This window comes from Homo sapiens, chromosome 8 (assembly GCF_000001405.40).
Source record: "Homo sapiens chromosome 8, GRCh38.p14 Primary Assembly".
Taxonomy (NCBI): domain Eukaryota; kingdom Metazoa; phylum Chordata; class Mammalia; order Primates; family Hominidae; genus Homo; species Homo sapiens.
In genome coordinates this window covers 141,101,860-141,124,166 of record NC_000008.11, presented here as the reverse complement: position 1 = coordinate 141,124,166, position 22,307 = coordinate 141,101,860, and the positions used below count along the sequence as shown (strand labels likewise).

The 22,307-nt window shown below is 54.5% G+C and overlaps 9 annotated features.

Moving 5' to 3' along the window:
• Nucleotides 4,089–4,288: an enhancer, noted in NCBI's record as "active region_28045". NCBI's record gives its function as "activates an Ori minimal core promoter by ATAC-STARR-seq in GM12878 lymphoblastoid cells {active_cell/tissue: GM12878}" and the evidence as "EXISTENCE:reporter gene assay evidence [ECO:0000049][PMID:35858748]".
• Nucleotides 5,101–5,669: an enhancer, noted in NCBI's record as "H3K4me1 hESC enhancer chr8:142128597-142129165 (GRCh37/hg19 assembly coordinates)". NCBI's record gives its function as "activates a minimal SCP1, AML or CMV promoter by ChIP-STARR-seq in primed H9 embryonic stem cells {active_cell/tissue: H9 hESC(primed)}" and the evidence as "EXISTENCE:reporter gene assay evidence [ECO:0000049][PMID:30033119]".
• Nucleotides 10,005–10,084: an enhancer, noted in NCBI's record as "active region_28044". NCBI's record gives its function as "activates an Ori minimal core promoter by ATAC-STARR-seq in GM12878 lymphoblastoid cells {active_cell/tissue: GM12878}" and the evidence as "EXISTENCE:reporter gene assay evidence [ECO:0000049][PMID:35858748]".
• Nucleotides 10,685–10,824: an enhancer, noted in NCBI's record as "active region_28043". NCBI's record gives its function as "activates an Ori minimal core promoter by ATAC-STARR-seq in GM12878 lymphoblastoid cells {active_cell/tissue: GM12878}" and the evidence as "EXISTENCE:reporter gene assay evidence [ECO:0000049][PMID:35858748]".
• Nucleotides 11,240–11,759: an enhancer, noted in NCBI's record as "H3K4me1 hESC enhancer chr8:142122507-142123026 (GRCh37/hg19 assembly coordinates)". NCBI's record gives its function as "activates a minimal SCP1, AML or CMV promoter by ChIP-STARR-seq in naive H9 embryonic stem cells {active_cell/tissue: H9 hESC(naive)}" and the evidence as "EXISTENCE:reporter gene assay evidence [ECO:0000049][PMID:30033119]".
• Nucleotides 11,760–12,281: an enhancer, noted in NCBI's record as "H3K4me1 hESC enhancer chr8:142121985-142122506 (GRCh37/hg19 assembly coordinates)". NCBI's record gives its function as "activates a minimal SCP1, AML or CMV promoter by ChIP-STARR-seq in naive H9 embryonic stem cells {active_cell/tissue: H9 hESC(naive)}" and the evidence as "EXISTENCE:reporter gene assay evidence [ECO:0000049][PMID:30033119]".
• Nucleotides 17,214–17,553: an enhancer, noted in NCBI's record as "active region_28042". NCBI's record gives its function as "activates an Ori minimal core promoter by ATAC-STARR-seq in GM12878 lymphoblastoid cells {active_cell/tissue: GM12878}" and the evidence as "EXISTENCE:reporter gene assay evidence [ECO:0000049][PMID:35858748]".
• Nucleotides 18,700–19,247: an enhancer, noted in NCBI's record as "H3K4me1 hESC enhancer chr8:142115019-142115566 (GRCh37/hg19 assembly coordinates)". NCBI's record gives its function as "activates a minimal SCP1, AML or CMV promoter by ChIP-STARR-seq in primed H9 embryonic stem cells {active_cell/tissue: H9 hESC(primed)}" and the evidence as "EXISTENCE:reporter gene assay evidence [ECO:0000049][PMID:30033119]".
• Nucleotides 19,248–19,796: an enhancer, noted in NCBI's record as "H3K4me1 hESC enhancer chr8:142114470-142115018 (GRCh37/hg19 assembly coordinates)". NCBI's record gives its function as "activates a minimal SCP1, AML or CMV promoter by ChIP-STARR-seq in primed H9 embryonic stem cells {active_cell/tissue: H9 hESC(primed)}" and the evidence as "EXISTENCE:reporter gene assay evidence [ECO:0000049][PMID:30033119]".

Genomic DNA, 22,307 nt, shown 5'->3' with positions numbered 1-22,307 from the left:
CCGGGCATGGTGGCACATGCCTGTAATCCCAGCTACTCAGGAGGCTGAGGCAGGAGAATTGCTTGAACCCAGGGGGCGGAAGTTGCAGTGAGCCAAGATCGCACCACTGCACTCCAGCCTGGGTGACACAGTGAAACTCCATCTCAAAAAAAAAAAAATTTTTTTTTAGATTTAAAAAAGCAATGCCTACCTTGCAAGGCTGCTGGGAAAATCAAATATGCCAATAGATGTGAACAAGCCCCGTGTAGAGAATGGAAAGCTGCCTGCCTATTATATTAGAGCTGTTTGGACAGACTAGGGAGCTCTCCTACCTGCATTAAAGGTCAAACTCTGGGACATCTACGAGACCCACCACAGTCTGGCCTCAAATAAGTGCTCCCGCCGCACCCCTCCCAAACAACTATGAATCACTCACTGTCCCCCTAAACGTGCCCTTCCCTGCGGGCTGCCCAGGACACACTTTTCCTACTCAGTCTGAAACCCACCTACTTGTCCTTCCAGGTCTTGTTCAAACAGCACCTTCAGGGAAGCCCTCCCTTCCCTCACCCCCAGCTCCCCCAGTGAAAACTGGGGGTCCCCTCTAAACCCCAGAACCCTCCACCCTGCATTCCAGGCGCTTCATTCTCAATGGCCTGGTGCAAATCCTGACCCAATAGTGGTAAGTATTTGACCCTGCACAATGCGTGGAGTGTCACAGAGACCATGGTCGCTGATAAAGGTGCAATCGGCGTTGCCCTCTGCTGTCATCATTCACAAGAATTCTCCTCAAGGGCCAGTCTCCCAGCCTGATGGTGAGTGAGGAGCAGGTGAGGTTGACACACATACCCCAGAGTGCACAGCCCTGAACGTCCACACATGGCAAACACACAATCCCGTGTGTGGTATTTGGATGCACTCTACCTTGTTACAACTGGAGTTCAAATATTTGGATTATGTATTCCTCGCAAAAACTTTGAAGTGGAGTTAGCTGGATCTCCATGCTATGATACATGCTAAGCTTCAGCCTTTCTGGGAAAGCATAATCACGTCTCCGTAAGCAAAGAAAAACATGAGCCTGAATGAGCAGCTTTCTCCAGGAGCGACATGATGGGGACACCATACTGCCATAGTGCAAGTCACATGCAAACACTTCCAAATCCAACCCCTGCTCTCACTAGCCCTGTGACCTCGGAAGTCCCTTAACCTCCTGAGCCGTGGTTTCCCCATTTCTTTTGAGATGTTTATTGAGCACCTGCTATATGCTTGGTCCTATGATAATGGCTAAGAACACAGAAGAATAAAATAAAACTACAGACCTTCCTGCCACAAAAAGCTCACAGTGCAGAAAATGAGTGTTCAGTGGAGAGAGGGAAGCAGAGATTGCCCTGGAAATGGAGAAGCAGGACCCCTGACCCAGCAGGGGATTCAGGTAAGAGGAGAACACAGAAAATCAACCATGAAAGGGGAAGAGGCATTTTCTGGGGGTACAAAGGCACAGAGGGCAAGACAGGCTCAGCAGCGGGAACAGCACTGCCAGAGGCGAGGCTGCAGGAATAGCACTGTGTGTGCAGAGGCCACCACAGCAACGCTTGGATACTGCCGAGAAGTGTCTGTTTCATGCTCGTTGCTCTGCCCAGTCCCTGAAGCAGTGCCCAGCGCATGCAGGTGCTCTGTACACACCGAGGGGAGCAGTGGAGAGGGCCAGTGGGCTGGCGTCTGTCCTGGGGTAGTAGGAGGCTAGGAGGACTTTGACAAGGGAGAAAAGGGTCCAGACTGGTATTTGAGCCAGGGGACCCCGGCTGCAGGGAGAGGCAGGAAAGTGCACGTGAATACTGCAAACTCCAGGCAAAGGCAGAGGATCCAAACAGGCCATGAGGGGAGCAGCAGGAAGAGGGGCAGGAGGCAAGTCAGGAGCACTGGGATGGGGCGGCGGTGGGGAGGGGGCCGGGGCCATCCACGTCTCAATTCCCTAACTCCACAGATGAAATTCAGCTCCCATTCCACCACTGCAGCTTTGACCCCACCGTAATCCAGTGGTTTGTGGGCCTGTCCTCCCGTGGATCTGTCCATTCCCTGAGGGCAGGGCCTATAGCTGAGATGCTCCTGCTGTGTCCCCAGAGCTGCACAGAGCAGGTCCCCACTTATGTGAGGAGAGCCCAGGAGCACCAGGCTGGCAGGGGCAGGGGCAGGCGGGGTGTGGAGGAGCCCCGGGGGGGTTGGTTTGGGACAGGTTGACCTTGCAGGACTGTGGACATCTAAATGGGCCATCCTGAAAGTGGTGTGTGCCTCTGTGCTTGTGCACGTGTGTCGTGTGTAGTGTGTAGTGTGTCGTGTGTGTGTTTAGCAACTGTGTGCTATCACGTTTAGGCCTGAGCCTTTCTCCCCTCTCTTGTGCTGGGAAGGGAGGGAGAATTGTAGAGAAAGCCAGAACACAGATACAATGGGGCTGTTGCCGCAGGCTCTGGGGAGTAGATACCAGAGAACAAACCCTTCACCATCCACAGTGAGAACGGTCACGTGATGGGGTCCCAGCAAACAGCACAGGTGCTGTGGACATCACCGTTAACCATGCCACAGGTGGGCCGCCTGGTCAAATGCCCCTGGCCTGCTCAGGCAGCCCCCTCCTGTCCCAATCAGCTATAAACCCATTTGTGAAAAGTTGGTTTTCCTTTAAAATATGAATAACTGAGAGGAAGTCATGTGTTGTCGAACACTAACTGTCTGGGCTCAGGTTAGATGGTGCAACCTCTACCCACCAAGTTCACGTGCAGACAGCGCAAGTTCTGAGCTCAGTGTCTCGTGGGGCTTTGGAGGGTGCAACGGCAGCTCTCAACACTGGCCACCAGTAAGACCCATGTGGAAGGTTTGGACAAACCCCTATGGCCAGGTCCTGCCTCAACTGCTCAGAACATCTAGGGGGCTGGGGTGTGGGCAGCTGAGGATCCAGCGGCGCCCCCAGGTGACTCGGATGTGCAGCCAGGCACCGCTGCTGGGCTAATGCTGTATTTTGTCATTTGTGAAACGAAAGTAATAGCACTTCCTCCTGAATGAGGAAAACATTTAGCTCCCCTCCATAAACACTTATTGCATGCCTACTCTGTGCTGATTCCCATAGCGCCTACCGCTGCTGGCACACAGTGGGGCTGAACACACGTGGTGAGTTCGGTCCTGCACTGACCTGGACCTGGCTCAGCACCTACAGCCTGGGTGACCCTGGGCCCCTTCCCTGAGCCCTGTGGACGAATGTTCCCATCACCTGGCCCTGTGGCTGACACACAAAGTGACGGGAGTACCATGAGTATTTGACGAATAAAAGCATAAAGGCTAAATTCCACTGTCCGCTGATCATGGTCCACCTGTGCAATGGGCCGCCAGTCGGCAGAGATTCGCTAACCCCACATGGAGTACAACACACACCGTGATCCCACTTAACAAAGTCCAGGAGCAGACAAAGCACACGTAAATAAGAAAACCACACAGAGGATCACCGCGGGGTGCACACCACGTGCAGGGTGCTGTACTCCCTGGGGGGGCCCTGGGGCCATCTTAGTGGCGCCCTGTTCCTTCAGCTGGTGGGACAGGGCTGTTCATGTTATAGTTATTAGATATAGTCTTTGCAAATATGAAATATTTTATCAGAAAAGAAAAACAAGTGAATTATCTCATCTCTTTCTGGAATTCTACTGTGTCTAAAACAAATTGCCCAACTTCAGATATCAAGCAACTATCCTAGAATCTAGAAAATGCCAGACTGAGGAAGAATGATAAAAAGATGGGAAAGGGGCGTGTTCTCTGGCTTCCTTTGTTGCCCCACAGCCTGGAGGCCTGATGGTGAGAAGGGCCTTCCACTCGGGGCTGTCCCCACTCTCAGCAACGCCTGCTCTGAATGGCCCCTAAGAAGCCATTGAAGAAAATTCAGCCGGGCACGGTGGCTCATGCCTGTAATCCCAGCACTTTGGGAGCCTGAGGCAGGCAGATCACCTGAGGTCAGGAGTTCAAGACCAACCTGGCCAACATGGTAAAACCCCCATCTCTACTAAAAATACAAAAGCTAGCCAGGTGTGGTGGTGGGCGCCTGTAATCCCAGCTACTCGGGAGGCTGAGGCAGGAGAATTGCTTGAACCCAGGAGGCGGAGATTGCAGTGAGCCAAGACTGTACTACTGCACTCCAGCCTGGGCGACAGAGCGAGACTCAGTCTAAAAAAAAAGGAAATTCTAGGAAGCCAGGGCTGAGGAAGGATGTCGGGAACGTGTTGCTCCTGCTGGCAGCTCAGAGCTGCATGGCCGAGCAGCCACACTCACTTGTGACATTCTCTTCCTCCTGGGTATGAAGAAAGACAGGAAGCTGTGGTCTGGCTGCCCCTGTGTGCTTGGTCAGGGAGGAAGGGGACAGATGTGAGAACTATCTTAACCCATCCGGACTGGGAATCAAGACAAACAAAAATAGACAACTGACAGTAAATAGGCAGAAAGGGGGAAGTCAGGTACAAACGCCACTCACCCAGGGCCCAGGAGGGAAGCTTGGACCTCCCAAGGTTATTCAAAGGCACTCTCTGCACCTGCTGCCTGCTGCTCTGAATGCCCTGCCCTCTCGTACTCCATGGCCAACTCCAACTTGTCTTACGTCGGCTCAGATACAGATACCAACTACCCCAGGAAGGCCTCTCTCCCCTGCCCCCTACTTCCTCCATCCAGGCTGTGGTGCCCCTACGCCTCTCAGGGCCTCCTCATGTTGCTTCTGACCATGACCATGTGGGGGACAAACCCGTGTCCTTCGTGCCTCTCCACAGCCCTGCCTTTGGGCCTCCAACTATGAACCAACCTGACCCCTCCCTTGTCCCCACTCTGGAGCCACCGCCCAGCCCCCGCACATGGGCACTTCTCATGAGGTCCCCATGGGAAGGGCACTGGCACTGGAGGAAGAAGGTCCCGGGAACGAGCCCCGCTCCACCCTTCCCCAGCTGTAGGGCAGGGAAGTGGCCGCACAAACCTCGAGGGGCTGTCATGCAGAACAGGGTGATGGGCAGGGCCTGCTGTGGGGTGGCACTCAGTGACTGCCAGGCACCCCCTGCTCCCCTGGCCTCAGGCTTTCCCCTGGTCAAAACCCGCTGGTTCTCTGCAAGGCAGGGCAAGGGCAGACATGGCGAGGGGCCACCCTAGTGGTGGTGACGATGGCTGCCAGTGGCTCATCTACCTGAAACTGGAGGCATTCCGCATGTGTGCACATTCTCTTACCAATCTTCTCAGCAACCCTATAAACCCTGTCACCCCATTTCACAGATCAGGCACCTGAGGCTCAGCCAGTTCAGCCACATGGCCAGGAGCACACAGCAGTGAGCACGGGAGCAGAGGTGTGCACCTGGGAAGATCCAACACCAAAGCCCAGGCGCCAGCCACTCCGAGGAGGAACTGCTTCTCCAGGTGGGGCCAGAGCCTTCCCAGGCTGGACTTCCACCCCCGTCCCCCGAATAGGCCCTGCCCACCCTGCCCTGTCACCCCTGCTGCAGGTGGTTCTAAAGTTTGCTTGGGGCTGGGCACGGTGGCTCATGCCTGTCATCCCAGCACTTTGGGAGTGGGTGGATCACAAGGTCAGGAGATGGAGACCATCCTGGCCAACATGGTGAAACCCTGTCTCTACTAAAATATAGAAAAATTAGCCAGGTATGGTGGCCTGTGCCTGTAGTCCCAGCTACTCATGAGACTGAGGCAGGGGAATCGTTTGAACCTGGGAGGCAGAGGTTGCAGTGAGCCAAGATCGCACCACCGCACTCCAGCCTGACGACACAGAGAGATTCCGCCTCAAAAAAAAAAAAAAAAAAAAAATATGGGTGACAAGACCTCCCATGCTGGAATCTTATAATTAGAAGAGATTTAAAACCATCTGGCCAAACTCAGTCAACTCTAACTCCCCTGGGCCCAGCGAAAGTTCAGAGCCGCTTCCTGCGATTCATTCTCACAGCTCTTTGTGAACACCCCAGTAGGGCCCCAGTGGTGTAGGTGCCGGGACTGACCGGTGGCTTCCCTGTCTCACTGCACCCAGGGCAGAGGCTTCTGCTGGGTCCTGAGTGCAGTGTCCAGCAAGGAGGCTTGGAGAGGACGCAGGGGCTCCCGGTCATCCAACGCCCAGATGGGGCTCAGGAATGCAGACAGCACCTGCAGGGCCAGGCTGGAAAAGCCACGTCCCCTCTGCCTTGAGCAGGAAAAATGCCTTCCCAAGAGCAGGGGCCGCATCTTCTGAGGGTTCCCAAATCCCCCAGCCTCCAGGAGCCCGTGCAGGCCAGCCCCCAGCAGGGCACACTTTTTCCCAGCAGCCCAGGAGGGGTGTCTGCTGCCCACCCCACAGGGCAGGGCATGACCTCCTGGAGGTGCTGGCCCAGCTAGCAGGTGGTGAGGTTGGAGGCCAACCAGGGGCCGCAGGCCTTGACCACAGGCACCTCCCTGACCCCTGGGCCTGGCTCAGGCCGGAGCATTACCCCAACTCTCCCACCCCCTTTCAGCCCTCTTCTCCAAACCCAAAGCCAGCGGGCCCCCAGGTGGAGGCAGGGCAGAGGCCTGGAGGCCAGCCACTGCCCAGCCCTGTCACTCCTCTCCCATCTGGCCATGGGCGGAGCCACCGACAGCCATCACCCAGGGATGTGTGTGTGTGTGTGTGAGAGAGAAAGAGAGACAGAAAGAGAGGGAGAGGGAGACAGGAAGAAGGAAAGAGTCAGGGAGAGAGAGGGAGACAAAGAGAGGGAGATAGCACAGTCTGTGGCTCCGTGGTGGGAGATGCCAGGCAAGGGGGGCCCTCCTGGACATGGGTCACCTCTGATTCCCCACTCACCCTTGACCCACTGAGACGTCGTTTTCAAGCACCTGGAATCTTTCCAAGAACTACACACACAGATCTTCACGGCGCCACCAGGAAAAGGAAGGAGCCGCACCTCCTCCCCCTCGCATCTGGGAACCCTTCCCTGGGCAGAGGGAGGAGGCAGCAGGCCCCATCCCATCAAATCATGCGGAAAAGCCTGGCGGGGAGAGTTGGCTAAGGGTGGATTTGTTTAAAAACAGCAAAGGCCTTGGGCCCCGGGTTTTTGCACCTGTGGGCTCCAGGCAGCAGTTTCTGTTTCAGGAGCTCTCCCGCTCCCAATGGGGAATCAGACCCAGAGGAGAGGGGTGATGAGCCCATGTTCTCTGGGCCCACACTGCTGACTGCACTGACACCCAGGCTGGGAATCTTCTCCCCTGCAGGTGGGGATGCCACAGGCTCCTCCACTCCCCATTCCCACCTTCTTCCACTCACTCCAACTCCCCCAGAATAGAGGGTCCCAGGAACCTGCAGGTGGCTCAGCAGCTCTCCTCCCAAACCCAGCTGCTCAGCCTCCACCTCCAGCTGTCCCCCACAGCCCTCACCCCTCCTGTGCTCCTCTCCCGCCCACCTTACCCACTGGACAGACTGGTCGTCCCGGGGTCTCAGGTCAGCACCATCAGCACAGATTCTATTGACAGTGGAACTAGTGCCTTCCCAGTGCACACCCCACCCTCTTGGGCCGCACCTGCGAGCTGGGGCCAGGGCATCCCCTCGGCTTCACGCTGTCCCCTACCCCAGCACTAGATTGGGGAACCACATCTCTGTGCCAGCCAGCAGTGTGGTGGGGGACAATAAGGTCAGGGGTCAGACCACCTCCCACGGTGACCCCTGAGCCCTGAGGCATGTCCTCGTGGACTCCACCCCTCCTGGGGCTCAGCATCCTAAGCCCAGACCCATCTCCTTCCCAAAACCTGCTCCCCGCAGAAAGAGGCCACAGGTCGGCAACCACAGCTGCCACCCTGGCTGACAGAGCCAGACACCTGGGTCAGCCCAGCCTCCTTGTGCCACTGCTGGACACTGGCCACCGGCCCAGTCTTCCCTTTCCCCACCGCAGATGAGCCCCTGCCTCTCAGGCCTGACAACTCTACATCCCTGCATCAGCCCAGGTCCTCGGGGAAGCCAACACTGAGACAGGATTAAACAGGCAGGAGCCGCATGACAGGCACCTGTGGGATAACCTGGGGATGGAGCTGGGGGCTGGGAGAGCCCTCGGAAGCTGGGAGGGAGTGAAGTGCCCCAATGTCCAAGTCTACCCAGAAACCCCGAATGTGACCTTATTTGGAAATAAGGTCTCTGCAGACGTAATGAGCTAAGTGAAGATGAGGTCATCCTGGAATAGGGTGGGCTTCCGATCCAATGGCTCCTTATAAGAGGAGAAGCCACCCAGAGACACACAGGGGAGACGAAGGCCGAAATTGGGAACATGCACAAACCAAGGGACACCGAGGATTTCCAGCCACCACCAGGAGAGGCAGGCAGCCTCCCCTCCCCCAGCCTGAGGGGAAGCCTGGCCCGCCCACCTTGGCTTTGCACTCGCCGCCCCGCCCCCCACATGCCCATCGCTGGGGAGGCAGGGGCTCAGTGCATCGTCTGTATTCAAAGCATCGTTTCAAGGAACCAGTGAGCAAATGAACTCAAATGTGTCCTGCTATTGTGTTGTTGCTACATGAACCTCAGCAGGGCCATGTGTTCATTCAGCAGCTGCTGGGACCCCTTGGCCAGTACCTGCACCAGGCTCCAGAAAGCAAAGAAAAGCAGCAAGTCCCCGGGGCCAAGGGCCAGGTCCAGAAGAGGAGCCCCACCCAGCCAGGTGCAGGGTGCAGGTGAGGCTCCCACAGCCCCGGTGCCTCCCCGTGGACTCGCGCTCACGGTCCTGCCCTCCCAGAGCTTGGGAGATGGCGGGGGTCTCTCCATCCTGCTTTCCTCTCCACCCTGCTGGTCTGAGCACCGGGGGCCTGCTGCTGCCCTTTGCTCCCTCTCCCATCCCCACTGCCACAGCCTTGGCACCCTCCTGCTCCCAGTCACCACAGTGCCACCCCCCACCCTGATGGAATAGCCTCTGGGCACAGGGCTCTGGATTACTCTAGTTCTGTGCTGCCAACACGGGAAACCAGCCACACAGGATGTGTCCCAATGGAGCTGTGCTGTGGGTGTGAATACATACGACGTCAAGGGTTTGGCAGGAAAAAGAACAGAAAGTACCTGGCTGTTCATTTATGGATTGATCACATGTTGACATGATAATACTTTCAATATAGTGATTAGTAAAATATTGTAGGAAAATAAATTTCACCAGCTTCTTTTTAGTTGTTTTTGTTGTTGTTGGTTTTTTTTTTTTTTTTTTTTATGGAGTCTCACTCTATTGCCCAGGCTGGAGTGCAGTGGTATGATCTTGGCTCACTGCAATCTCTGCCTCCCAGATTCAAGTGAGTCTCCTGCCTCAGCCTCCCGAGTAGCTAGGACTACAGGTGCCCACCACCACACCCGGCTAATTTTTGTATTTTTAGTAGAGACTGGGTTTCACCATGTTGGCCAGACTGGTCACGAACTCCTCAGCTCAAGTGATCCACCTGCCTTGGCCTCCCAAAGTGCTGAGATTACAGATATGAGCCACCATGCCTGGCCTCTTTTTACTTTTTAAAATGTGGTTTCTAAAATTACATCTGTGCCTTGAATTCTATTTATTTTTTTAAAACAATTTTATTTCTAATCATTATGAGTACCTGTACTTATATATGTATATGTGACATAGATGTGTGACACATAATGATCGCATGAGGGCAATTGGGGTGTCCGTCACCTCAAGCACGCATCATTTCTTTGTGTTAGTAAAATTCCAGTTCAACTCTTTTAGCTATTTTAAAATATACAATAAATTATTGTTGACTGTCTTCACCCTGTTGTGCTATCAAATACTAGATCTTATTTATTCTAACGATAGTTTTATACCCATTAACCATGCCCGTCCTGCAACTCTTCCCAGCCTCTGGTAACCATCCTTCTATTCTCCGTCCCATGCATTCAGTTGTTTTCATTTTTAGCTCTCACATATGAGTGAGAACATGCAAAATTTGTCTTTCTTCACCTGGCTTATTTCACTCAACATGTTGACCTTCAGTTCCACCCAAGTTGTTGCAAATGACAGGATTTCAACGGATTCTATTTCTTTTGGACAGCGCTAGTCCACTTGTAATGAGTCTCTTGAAAAGGAGTCTAGAAGGCACCTCACCTCACATTAACTGAGCACCTGTAAGTCAGGGATGTGGAGACACGGCAGCCAGGGTCCTGCCTTCTGGGACCTCCCAAGGGGCCAGGTGACCTGCTCCAGGCTACACTCCAAGGCCAACGAGGGTGCAGGTTTTAGAAGCGGGTCTTGAGGCTTGCTAAGCATGGGTGTTGGTCTTTCCTTCTCAGAGAGGCTGGCGTTCTGCCATGACCGACAGAGAGAAGCAAGGTGTTTGGAGCAAACCCAGCTCTGGGCTGAATCCCGCCTGGGTGATCTTCAAGTACCACTGCCTTTCTCTACGTTAAAGGGGAGTGGTCGTCCCAAGGGTCACAGAAGGGGACCAGTGTGGGTGACACGCCTACATGATGCTGACACTCCAAAGCCTCTCCAGTCATGGGCCCCAACTCCATCCCACCCTGCCCAAAACCCAGACATTGGAGGAAGATTTACAAAAAGGGCTTCTATGGTTTTGTATTTACTATGGGGTTTTTCTTACAATCATCTTACAATTACTATGGGGTTTTTCTTGCAATCATTTTCTTACAATAGCCCCTTACAAAGGGGACTATTTTTCTTAGCCACTTTTTAAAGACATGTAAATGAAGTGCTGAGTCAATCTGTAATTCTACTTTCCCTTAATGTGAAATCTTTCTTTAGACTAAAACTTGCTTATGTAAAAGAAGCTTTACTGAAATAAACCATGTGCTTCTCATGACCCAATCATTCCACAAGTCTTTTTAACCTCCAAACTGATCAGAAAGGCTGTTCTTGTCACCTCACCACGCTGGCCACAGTTTGGTGACAGATACTGAGTCCGCTGTTTAGTTTTCCCGAAAGTGTTTTATTCTCACCCTGGTTTTTGCTACCTTATCACACGAGTTAAGCACCTCCTCTTGCTGCATTAATGTCCAGTTTTAATCTTCCCAACTGGCTCATACATGAGACACCTGGCAAGTGTGTAATTGATTATTCTAATTGGAAACAAACACCCAGAGAAACATATAAAGGATGCATGCCGGGAAGCACACGGCTTCCTCACTGTCTGCAAAACTCTGCAGAGCTCTTTAACGCTGGTTTACGGAGAGGCCTGCATATTGACGACAGCCGCACTCATTGGGTTTTAGAGCTGTCTACACCTTCTCCATTATTTAATCCTCACCATACTTCAAGAGGGAAGAGCAAGCATGCCCATTTGACACAGAGAGAATGGGGGGTCCCAGCTAGCCAGCAGGTCCCGCTCACTAGGGGCCCGCTTCATCCCGGGGACTCTGAACAGGCTTCTCCCGTCGCCTCCAGGCTCCCGTTAGTCTTGCTTCAGAAGAAGTCCTGCTCAGAGGCACCCCGAAGTCCTGATCAGAGGCACCCCACAGCAGGTCTGCAGCTGGGAGTCCAGCCCCCATGTCCACATCCCTGGAGAGGCCTGGTGCCCTGCCGCGTGCAGCAGAAAGAAGCATTAGTGCTCTGCCCTGAAGCCTCGTTCCCCACACTTGCCGCCACAGTCCAGCCTTGGAGCATCTTTGTGGCCATGACCTCTTGGGCCGATCCCCCGTCTGCCTCCTAGTGATGGCTACGGGTGATCACCCCAGGCAGCCCTCCTCCCCAGCCTGGCCTGGTGGAGCCCTCTTTGGACCCTGCTAGGGTCTTGGCTTGACCCCAGCTCTCCCGCTGAGCTGAGGCTATAGCCACAGGGAGCCGGCCGTGCCTCTCTGGTAGCACTTTCCTGGCCGGGCAGCCACATGCTGGCCTAGGGGCCCAGGCCCTACTGATCTCTCCTCCTCCAGGAAGCAGCTCTCAGCGCAGACCCAGCCCAGAAGAAGGCTGGAGGTGCCACCTGACCCCCTCAGCCTCCGCTCTGTCCTCTGCCCTGGCCCCTGCATCTGGCAGTGCCTCCCAGTTTCCCTACCCTGGCGAAGCACGTGGATTGTCAGGCACCTCCCCTGCTTAATGATTCTCCTGCCTCAGCTTAGGATTCTCCAGTGGCTCCCAGTGCCCTCAAGACGTGCTGCAGCCCCACGGCAGATTCAAGGCCCTCCACAGGGCAACGTGTTCCGTCGAGATCCCTGCCAGCCCCTCTGCACATTCCCAACTCCCACCCAAGATAACCTTGGCTACGTCTAATTCTCCAGCCCTTCCTTGCCTTTGCCCAGGTGCTCCTCTGCTCCTTCCCCACCTGCCCCATGCAGCGGCTCCTCCTGACTCACCTGTGCAGGTGCTCCCTTGCCACTGCCCTCTCCCCGTGCACACACTGCTTTGTAACTACGGAACAACTACTGCAACTCAGAACAGGATGTCAAGTCCAGGTCCAGGAATGGCGGCCATGCAGGCATGGGGCTAGACCCTGGAGGCACAAGGATGGACGAGGCAGGGTCTCTCTACTCATGAGGGGCTTAACTGCTTGTCCAACAGACAGGTGCAGAAACAGTCCATCCCAACAGAATTCCCCAACGACAGCCCCAGAATGCCACAGAAACAGTCCGTCCCAACAGAATTTCCCAACTATGGCCCCAGAATGCTGCAGAAACAGTTTGTCCCAACAGAATTCCCCAAGGACAGCCCCAGAAGGCCACAGAAACAGTCCGTCCCAACAGAATTCCCCAAGGACAGCCCCAGAAGGCCACAGAAACAGTCCGTCCCAACAGAATTCCCCAACAACGGCCCCAGAACACAAGGGCGTTGGAGCCATGCTGTGGGAGGAGGGGCTCAGGAAGTCTTCCTGTGGAGGAGGCCGTGTGGGCAGAAGCTGGAGTGGCCAGCATCCTGGTTTCCCTGGGGCTGTCCCAGGTCTAGCACTAACAGCTCTGCTTCCCAGGAAGTCGCTCAGTCCCAGGCAAACTGGGACGGTCGGTCACCGTAGCAGAGCCAGGTGGCAGCCTCTTCGTGGTTCAGAGGCAGAACCGACAGGCAAGCAGCGTGGGGCCCTCAGGAAGGGCTTGTTATTAGCAGCCGATCCACTGAAATCCCGAAGGACCCCAAAGCTGGGTGCCCCCACCCTATTCTGCATACCCACTGGCCCGTCCTCCCTGACCCTACACATGGGCCCCAATAGCCTCGAAGTCTCTGTAGAATGTGTTCAGGTGTGGCCCACCTGAGAAGCAGGTTCAGGGCCCAGGGTGATGGTCTTGCATGAGTGAATGAATGAATTATTAAGTGAACAAAGGAATGAACACATGGCTCCTACTTTCTCTTTTTATTTTTTCTTTTTTTTTTTGGAGACAGAGTCTCCGTCTGTTGCCCAAGCTGGAGTGCTGCGGCGCGAAATCAGTTCACTGTAACCTCCACCTACTGGGTTCAAGGGATTCTCTTGCCTCAGCCTCCCCAGTAGCTGGGATTACAGGCGCTCACCACTGTGCCTGGCTAATTTTTTGTTTTTGTTTTTGTTTTTACTAGAGACAGGGTTTCACCATGTTGGCCAGGCTGGTCCCAAACTGCTGATCTCAAGTGATCTGCCCACCTCTGCCTCCCAAAGTGCTGGGATTATAGGCATGAGCCACTGTGCCCGGCCCTCCTTTCTCTTCAAAGACATTTTGCAAATAAAGGGCAGAGCTGGGGGGTCGTTCTTACCGTACACATGCACCCCTCCCACGACAGAAGCAAATTTTCATTTAATTCTGCCCTTGCCCTCCTTCTATTCTCAACATGCGATGGTCCTGCCTCACTCAGAGGAGAAGCAGGAGTGTGGGTCCCTTGCTCACAGCTGTATCCACAGCGTCTGGATCAGCCCCGGGAGCGGAATGGGGGCTCGTGAGAATTCCTGGGACCACGGCTGAAGGAATCCCCTCAAATCCTCAAGAAGAGCCACGGGATTCCCCTCTCAACCCAACCCTACAGATTTGCCCCACCCTGACCAGAATGACTCCAGGGGGCCCTGCACGCCTCTCGGCTGGAATGAGAGACAGACACGTGGCCTGCGTGGACGGCGTTGCCCGCAGGGGACATAGTGAGAATAGCATCAGGACAACAAAGCTGATGCGGGGCCTAATAGCTCAGGAAGTTGGTGCTATTGATAAGCAATTACCTATTTTAAAGATACATATATATATTTTTGAGATGGAGTCTCACTCTGTCGCCCAGGCTGGAGTGCAGTGGCACACTCTCAGCTCACTGCAACCTCCGCCTCCTAGTGGTTCGAGTGATTCTCCTGCCTCAGCCTCCTGAGTAGCTGGGATTTCAGGCACCCGCCACCACGCCTGGCTATTTTTTGTATTTGTGGTAGAAATGGGGTTTTGCCATGTTGGCCAGGCTGGTCTCGAATTCCTGACCTCAGGTGATCCCCCCATCTCAGCTTCCCAAAGTGCTGGGATTACAGGTGTGAGCCACTGCACCCAGCCATATATATATATATTTATATATATTTATATATATATATTTTTTTTATTTTTATTTTTATTTTTTTTTTGGAGACAGGGTCCTGCTCTGTGGCCCAAGCTGGAGTGCAGTGGTGTGATTACAGCTCACTACAGCCTCAACCTCCTGGGCACAAGTGATCCTCCCACCTCAGCCCCCCAAGTGGCAGGGACCGCAAGAGCATACCACCATGCCAGCTAATTTTTGCATTAGCCTCAAAAAGGAAGGAAATTCTGGTACGTGCTGCAACAAGACGGAAGCTTGAGGACACGGCGCTCTGTGAAAGAAACCAGTTAGGAAAGAGCAGATGCTGTGGGATTCCACTCACCTGAGTCCCTAGAGACAGTGAGAAGCGTGGTGGGAGCCGGGGCCTGGGGGAGGGGAATGGGGAGCCAGTGTTTCGTGGGGATGGAGTTTCAGCCGGGGAAGATGAAGCCGTTCTGGAGGTGATGGTGGTGATGGTCATACGATGTTATGAATGTGCTTAATGCCACTGAACTGCACACTTAAAAGTGGTAAACATGGCCGGGCGCGGTGGCCTGGCCAACATGGTGAAACCTCGTCTCTACTAAAAATACAAAAATTATCCGGGCATGGTGGTAGGCACCTGTAGTCCCAGCTACTGGGGAGCCTGAGGCAGGAGAATCGCTTGAACCAGGAAGGTGGAGGTTGCAGTGACCCAGCGGAGTTTTAGGGTCCCAGACAGCCCATGTTCCCAGCACTGCCACCTTCTTGCTGGCGGGCGCTGCCAGGACAGCCTCACAGCCAAGGGCAAGGATGGGTTTGTGCCCCCAAAACCCACCCAAGGTGGGCAGATGGGCTGGCAGGATCAGCTCTGCCCTCTAATGGGTTCCCGTGAGGAGAGACCCCAAGCACATCCCCACTTCATTGTTTAAAACTTTTTTTTTTTGAGACAGTATCTGTTGCCCAGGATGGCTAGAATGCAGCAGTGCCATTGCAGCCCACTGCAGCCTCGACTTCCCTGGCTCAAGTGATCCTCCTGCCTCAGCCTCCCAATTAGCTGGGACTACAGGTGAGCGTCACCACACCCAGCTAATTTTTTCTATTCTTTGCAGAGACAGGGTCTCCCTATGTTGCCCAGGCTGGTCTTGAACTCCTGGGCTCAAACAGTCCTCCTGCTTCAGCCTCCCAGTGTTGTGATTACAGTCATGAGCCACCGCACCCAGCCAAAACTTATTTTTATTACCCAAGTAATACACATTCATTGTAGAAAAAATGGAAAATACATATAAACAATTGGCAAAACAAACAGCAATCACCTATAATCCCAGCACCCAGAGAATTTATCATTAACACCATGTATGACCCAGATTTGTGCAGAGAAGTGCATATCAGCATTTTTAGAGGCTGACTTCATACTCATATCTCCAGAGTCCATGTGTCTCCTGCTATGACATTGACAAGGACGAAAAAGAACGTGGAGAATGTGAGGAACAGGGCCTGATGGATTCCAGTAGGGGAGGGCCCTGGTAGCCTCCCGAGGGAAGGCGTGATGTAACACAAGTGGCTTGACCTTGACCTTACACCTTCACTGTTGGAATTTACCCTAAAAACAACTGACCAGGCACAAGAAGGTGCCGTTGTGGATGAGCCATGCCAGTGGCCACATCCACGTGATGAGCATGATGCTGCTACCAAACAGAGGTGTGGAATCTATGTTCATGAAACATGGGAGGTGCGAGCAGATTCATGGTTTTCAAAACATTGGTTCTTCAATGGGTGAAACACAGAGCTGCCATCAGTCCCAGCAGTCCCACAGCGGGCACCTCACACACCCAAAAGAGCTGCAGGCATTTCACACACCCAAAAGAGCTGCAGGCATCACACACCCAAAAGAGCTGCAGGCATCTTACACACCCAGAAGAGCTGCAGGCATCTCACACCCAGAAGAGCCACAGGCATCTCACACCCAAAAGAGCTGCAGGCATCTCTCACACCCAGAAGAGCTGCAGGCATCTCACACCCAAAAGAGCTGCAGGCATCACACACACCCAAAAGAGCTGCAGGCATCTCACACCCAAAAGAGCTGCAGGCATCACACACACCCAAAAGAGCTGCAGGCATCTCACACCCAAAAGAGCTGCAGGCATCACACACACCCAAAAGAGCTGCAGGCATCTCACACCCAAAAGAGCTGCAGGCATCACACACACCCAGAAGAGCTGCAGGCATCTCACACCCAAAAGAGCTGCAGGCATCACACACACCCAGAAGAGCTGCAGCCATCACACACACCCAAAAGAGCTGCAGGCATCTCTCACACCCAAAAGAGCTGCAGGCATCACACACACACAGAAGAGCTGCAGGCATCTCTCACACCCAAAAGAGCCGCAGGCATCTCACACCCAAAAGAGCCGCAGGCATCTCATACACCCAGAAGACCTGCAGGCATCTCACACCCAGAAGACCTGCAGGCATCTCATACCCGAAAGAGCTGCAGGCATCTCACACACCCAAAAGAACTGCAGACATCACACACACCCAAAAGAGCTGCAGGCATCTCTCACAGTCAAAAGAGCTGCAGGCATCTCTCACACTCAAAAGAGCTGCAGGCATCACACACACTCAAAAGAGCTACAGGCATCTCACACCCAAAAGAGTTGCAGGCATCTCTCACACCCAAAAGAGCTGAAACTGGTCTTCAGATACTTGTACAGGAACATTTATAGCAGCATTATTTATGATGGCCACGATGTGGAAACTACCCAAGTTTCCATCAACAGATAAATGAACACATGAAATCGGGTATCTCCATACAGTGGGGTTGTAGTCAGCCCTGTGAAGGAATGAAGGGCTGACTCACGCTACAACGTGGGTGAACCTGGAAAACACCATGGCCAGTGAAAGAAGCCAGCCACAAATGCCCGCACCTTGCATGCCTCCATTTATAGGAGACATCCAGGATAGACAGAGAAAAGAGATAGAAAGTAGATTGGGGGTTGCCAGGAGCTAGGGGGAAGGAGGAGTGAGAGGTGACTGCTGGCGGGCTTGGGGTCCCCTTCGGGGGTGATGGAGCTGTCTTGGAACCGGATAGAGGTGGCAATAGAAGTTAGTGAGTGCAGTAAGTGCTACTGAACTGTGTACGTCAAAATGGTTGATGGTGAATTTTGTTATGTGAACTTTTCCCCAGTTGAATAAAACACTGAGTTTTCCTTTTAAAAAAAACTCTGAGTGGTGCTGTAAGGCCTCGCTTCTCAAAGTGAGGTCTGAGGACCAGCAGTGTCTCATCAGCCCAAGCCGGTCAAAAATGCAGAACCCCAGGTTCCACCCAACCTCCCCTGCCGTGGTCGTGTGGACACACCCTCCAGTCTGAGAGGCTGTTTAGCGGGGCACAGCTCAAGAGGAAGGGCTGTGCTAGATCCATCTTGGGGGTCCCAGCTCCCCATGTATCCCTCCTCAAAAGCTCACACCCCAACTCCTGCAGGCTACACTGGATCTGTTTGGGGAGACCCTGCTCCTCCCACATCCCCTCACTCCTGCAGCCGCGGTCACAGCTGATTGGACCAGCGGTGGTGTCTGACTGGGGTCCCTGGAACCTGCGCTGGGTGTCCTGGATCATCAAGGTGGGCTCCGTCTCTCTCTGGGATCTGGCCCAGGAGACCCCTGGGAAGCTGGGCTGGGAGCAAAGGAGGAGAAGAGCTGCTGCTCAAGGGGAGGAGCCACTGCTGGGGGCCAGGGCCCTACGGGCACCTCCAGCCACTCACTCGTCCCTCCTGCAGCCTTAGGTTCAACAAAGTATGGACAGTGTCTGGAAACAGGATTGGATGAAAGGGCTGATCTAATGTGAATAGACAGCAGGGAAACCCAGTGGGGCCTGTCCGTCAGGATTCTTCCCAGAAGGGCGTGGGGCAGGACCCTCTCTACAATGGGGGTCTTAGGACCTACAGTCAAATGAGGTAGTCAGATCATTTCTTTAGGGCCAGTTTTTACACAGAAAGGCAGAGAGAAAGTTTGCATCATATTTTTAGGTTTTATAGCTGCCTTTGGGAGAAAGGGGTTCTGGATTCCAGGACCTGCCTTGGGGAAGAGGGATTCTAGTCTCTGGTTGGCCTTGTGGGAGAATGAGTCTGAGACAGGAGGGCAGGAAAAGGTCAGAAAAAAACTTCTTTTTTTTTTTGAGACAGGATCTCCCTCTGTCACCCAGGCTGGAGTGCAATGGTGCAATCAGGACTCACTGTAGCCTCGACCTCCTGGGCTCAAGCAATCCTCCCAACTCAGCCTTCCGAGTAGCTGGGACCACAGGCACACCACCATGCCTGGCTCATTTCTTTTATTATCATTTTTTATAGAGATGGGGGCCTCACTATGTTGCCCAGGCTGGGCTCCAACTCCTGACCTCAAGTGATTCTTCTACCTCAGCCTCCCAAAATGCTGGGATAACAGGTGTGAGCCACCACACTCAGCCAACTTTAGCTTTTGAGGCTGCTTCTGAGTCCCTCATTTTGGGGTATTGTTTTCTGAGCTCCAACAAAGGTCAACCTCCCAAGGCCCCTGGGGCTGCAGGAGATGAGGGGCCCTGAGTGGGGTGGAGGTGGACAGGCTCAGGGCCAGGCTGACTCGGCTCGCACAGGGGCTCTGTATCACCCTAGGCTGGGCACCTTTCTGGCCTCCGCAGCCTCACCTGAATAATGGGCAGAAAGAGGCCAACCTCGCAGGGAATTGGGAACACGAGCAACCTCCACAGGGACTGTCCTCAACACAGCAGGGCCTGCAAGGGAGCCGCTGCCCCAGTCCAGGCAGCACCTGCCATGGAGCCCTGGGGGTGGAGCCTGCTGTTATCGGCGCTTCTCTCCAGAGGCTCAGCAGGAAGTGGGGAGGTTAAACGACCACAAGGAGTCAGGGCTGCTATGCCAAGAGGCCTCCACTGCCACGGCCACGCTCCCCGGGCCAGGACCCTGGGGCCTCACAACAGCCAAGCACCAGCACCCAGAGGAAATCAGCGAAGAGGCCGGGCACCTGTGTTCCATCCCCTCTCTCGCTGGGCCTTGGCCCCACATCCACCGCCAGGCACTCCCTGAGGTTGGAGCTGTGTCTTTCATCCCCATCCCCAGGACCAGCCCAGGGGAGGTGCCAGTAGGACTCAGGAAGACAGTGCAGAGCTCCCTGAAAAATCGGGAACAGATGATCCTCGGCACAGCGAACACAAGCTCAACTCAATGGTGAACAAGCTCCGAGTCGCTCAGTGTCACCCTGTGTACTTGAAAGCATTTGATTCTCTTATGCTGCACTGAATACAGCCTTGGCCAGGTTAGGCGGGAGAGGGAGGAAGCAAGATTAGGAAAGACTTCACTGAGGAGTCACTGTTTGGCTGGGGTCTTGAAGGTTGAATAGGAGTTTTCCAGGGGATGAAAGGAGAGAGAGGGGGACAGGCATGGTGGCTCACGCCTGTAATCCCAGCACTTTGGGAGGCCAAGTTGGGAGGATTACTGAGTCCAGGAGTTCAAGGCCAGTCTGGGCAACATGGTGGAACCCTGTCTTTACAAAAAAAGAAGAAAAGAAACTACAAAAATTAGCCAGCCGTGGTGGCACACACCTATAGTTCCAGCTACTCAGGATGCTGAGGTGGGAGAATCAATTGAAACTGAGAGGCTACAGTGGGCTGTGACGGCACCCTGCACTGCAGCCTGGGTGACAGAGAAAGATCCTATCTCAACTATAACAACAAAACAAACCAAAAAACAAAAACAAGAAAATAAAGAGAGGCAACTTCAGAAGAAAGAAAAGCCTCTGTCAGCTCATTCTCCAAAATGCGGTCCGGAGCGGCCCAGCAGCCTCCATCTCACCCGGGTCTCAGGGTCTCCGGCCTCCCCGAGGCCCCGCGGCATCACGTTAACAATGCCCGGGTGATGCGTGTACATGTGGAGGTTTGGGAGGCACGGACCGATCAGTTATTCAGCAAATACTTTCAGGGGGCGCCTGTCAGGCCCCAGGTGAGGCACTGAGGGCCCAGACAGGAGCAGGCTCCGGACGCTGCAGGGGCCCAGCCTGATGGGGAGGAGGGCAGGGCTGCCCCGAGTGGGCATATGCTTCTCTAGGTCTCCAAAGGGGAGTTGGTGTCCACGCAAGAGGGTCAGGTTGAGGACACTCTAGGTGCCTGGCAGAGGCATGTGGGTGGGCAAGCCTGGTTTACTCGGGGACCTGCAAATGGCTGGCCTGGAGGGGGATGACATGAGGACAGGGTGGGCTGGGACATGCTGGGAGTGCAGGACTCTGCCACCCAAAGGGCATGTGGACCCAAGCCCGGAGGAGAACTCTGCCGCTCAGCAGTGACGGCCTGGTAGCTGTGCAGACACAGGTGAGGTCCTGCCAGGGGTGCCCTTGGCCACCTCTGAGCCACTTGCACTGCAGGGACAGCTCCTGGCACACCAATAACTTCACCCCAGCACCGAGTCTCGGCCTCTCCAGCTGAGGGTTGACTTAGTGACATCTCAGGAGCTGGCTCAGCCTAGCCCTGGGCAGCAACAACGTGCAAGGGCCTCAGGCCCCCAGGGGCAGCCTCAACCAGTGAGGGATAGAAACCCCCGAAGCACCCAAGGGGTCCTCAGAGGGTCCCGAGGGGTGACCTTGGTGATGTTCATTTCTGTCACTCACAACTTAAGGAGATCTACATGAGAAACCGGCTGCCACCTCCAAGCTGTGCCCAGCAAGGTGGTGGAGGAACCCTGCCCGGTGAGTTCTGCCAGCCTGGTGCCTTTTCAGGAAGGGGCATGGGGAGGAGCAGTGGCACCGGGCAGAAGCCTGGGCCAGCTCTGCCCACCGAGCGCTGAGCCTGGACAGGGCTGCCGGCTTTGCTCCCAGGCCGCTGTTCTTTCCCCCCTCCCCGGTCCTAACTCCTGCACCCACCAGGAGCACTGAAGGGGCCTGGCTGGTGAACATGTCCCAGGAAAAGCATGGAAAAGAAGGCAGGAGGAAACTTTAGCCTCAGAGCCTGCGCCAGCAGGGCTTATATTGAGCAGCCCTCGTAGCAACCCTCAGAGTGGGGAGAACAGTCCTCATTTCTGAGATGAGAACACTGAGGCCCAGGGAAGGGACACAACCTGCCCTGGTCCGAAACCTGGTTCCTCCAGCTTCACGGCGGGAGCTGAGCTACTGCCCCAAAATATTTACAGCCAGGGTCGTGGTGACTGCGAGAACTGGAAGCTGTCCCATCACCTAACAGTGGGTGTGGCCGGGGAGTGAGTGAAAGGCACGGGAATCCATCAGTGGCTCCGGGGTAAGGACGCGACCCCTGCCGCGCTGGAAAACCCATGCGCCAAAGAACTGGATGGGGAAAAGTGGGCCCTGAACCCAGTTTCACCCCAATGCGGCCGTTCACAGGGACACGGATGGGTCATCAGAGTATCACGGCCGTGAGTGTTCCATCCCAGCGCCCGGGGCACTGTCCCCACGCGCTGCCCCTGGATGTCCAGCTCCCCAAACCAGGCTTGGGTCTTCCCAGAAATAGCCTTGCCCCATCTCACTCTTTCACTCATCTCCCCTGTGAAATGTGCCTGTTTTGAGTCCTGTTCATGGGGACAGCTCTGATAGTCATGAAAATCCCAATAGGCATGCTATAGTGCTTCTTCTTCTATTATTATTATTTGAGATGGAGTGTCACTCTGTCGCCCAGGCTGGAGTACAGTGGTGCGATCTCCGGTCACTGCAACCTCTGCCTCCCGGGTTCAAGCAATTCTCGTGCCTCAGCCTCCCAAGTAGCTGTGATTACAGGCGCCCGCCACCATGCCCAGTTAATTTTTGTATTTTTAGTAGAGACAGTGTTTCACCATGTTGGCCAGGCTGGTCTCGAAATCTTGACCTCAGGTGATCCGCCGCCTCAGCCTCCAAAAGTGCTGGGATTACAGGCATGAGACACAACGCCAGGCCAGTAGTGCTTCATTTTTATCATGC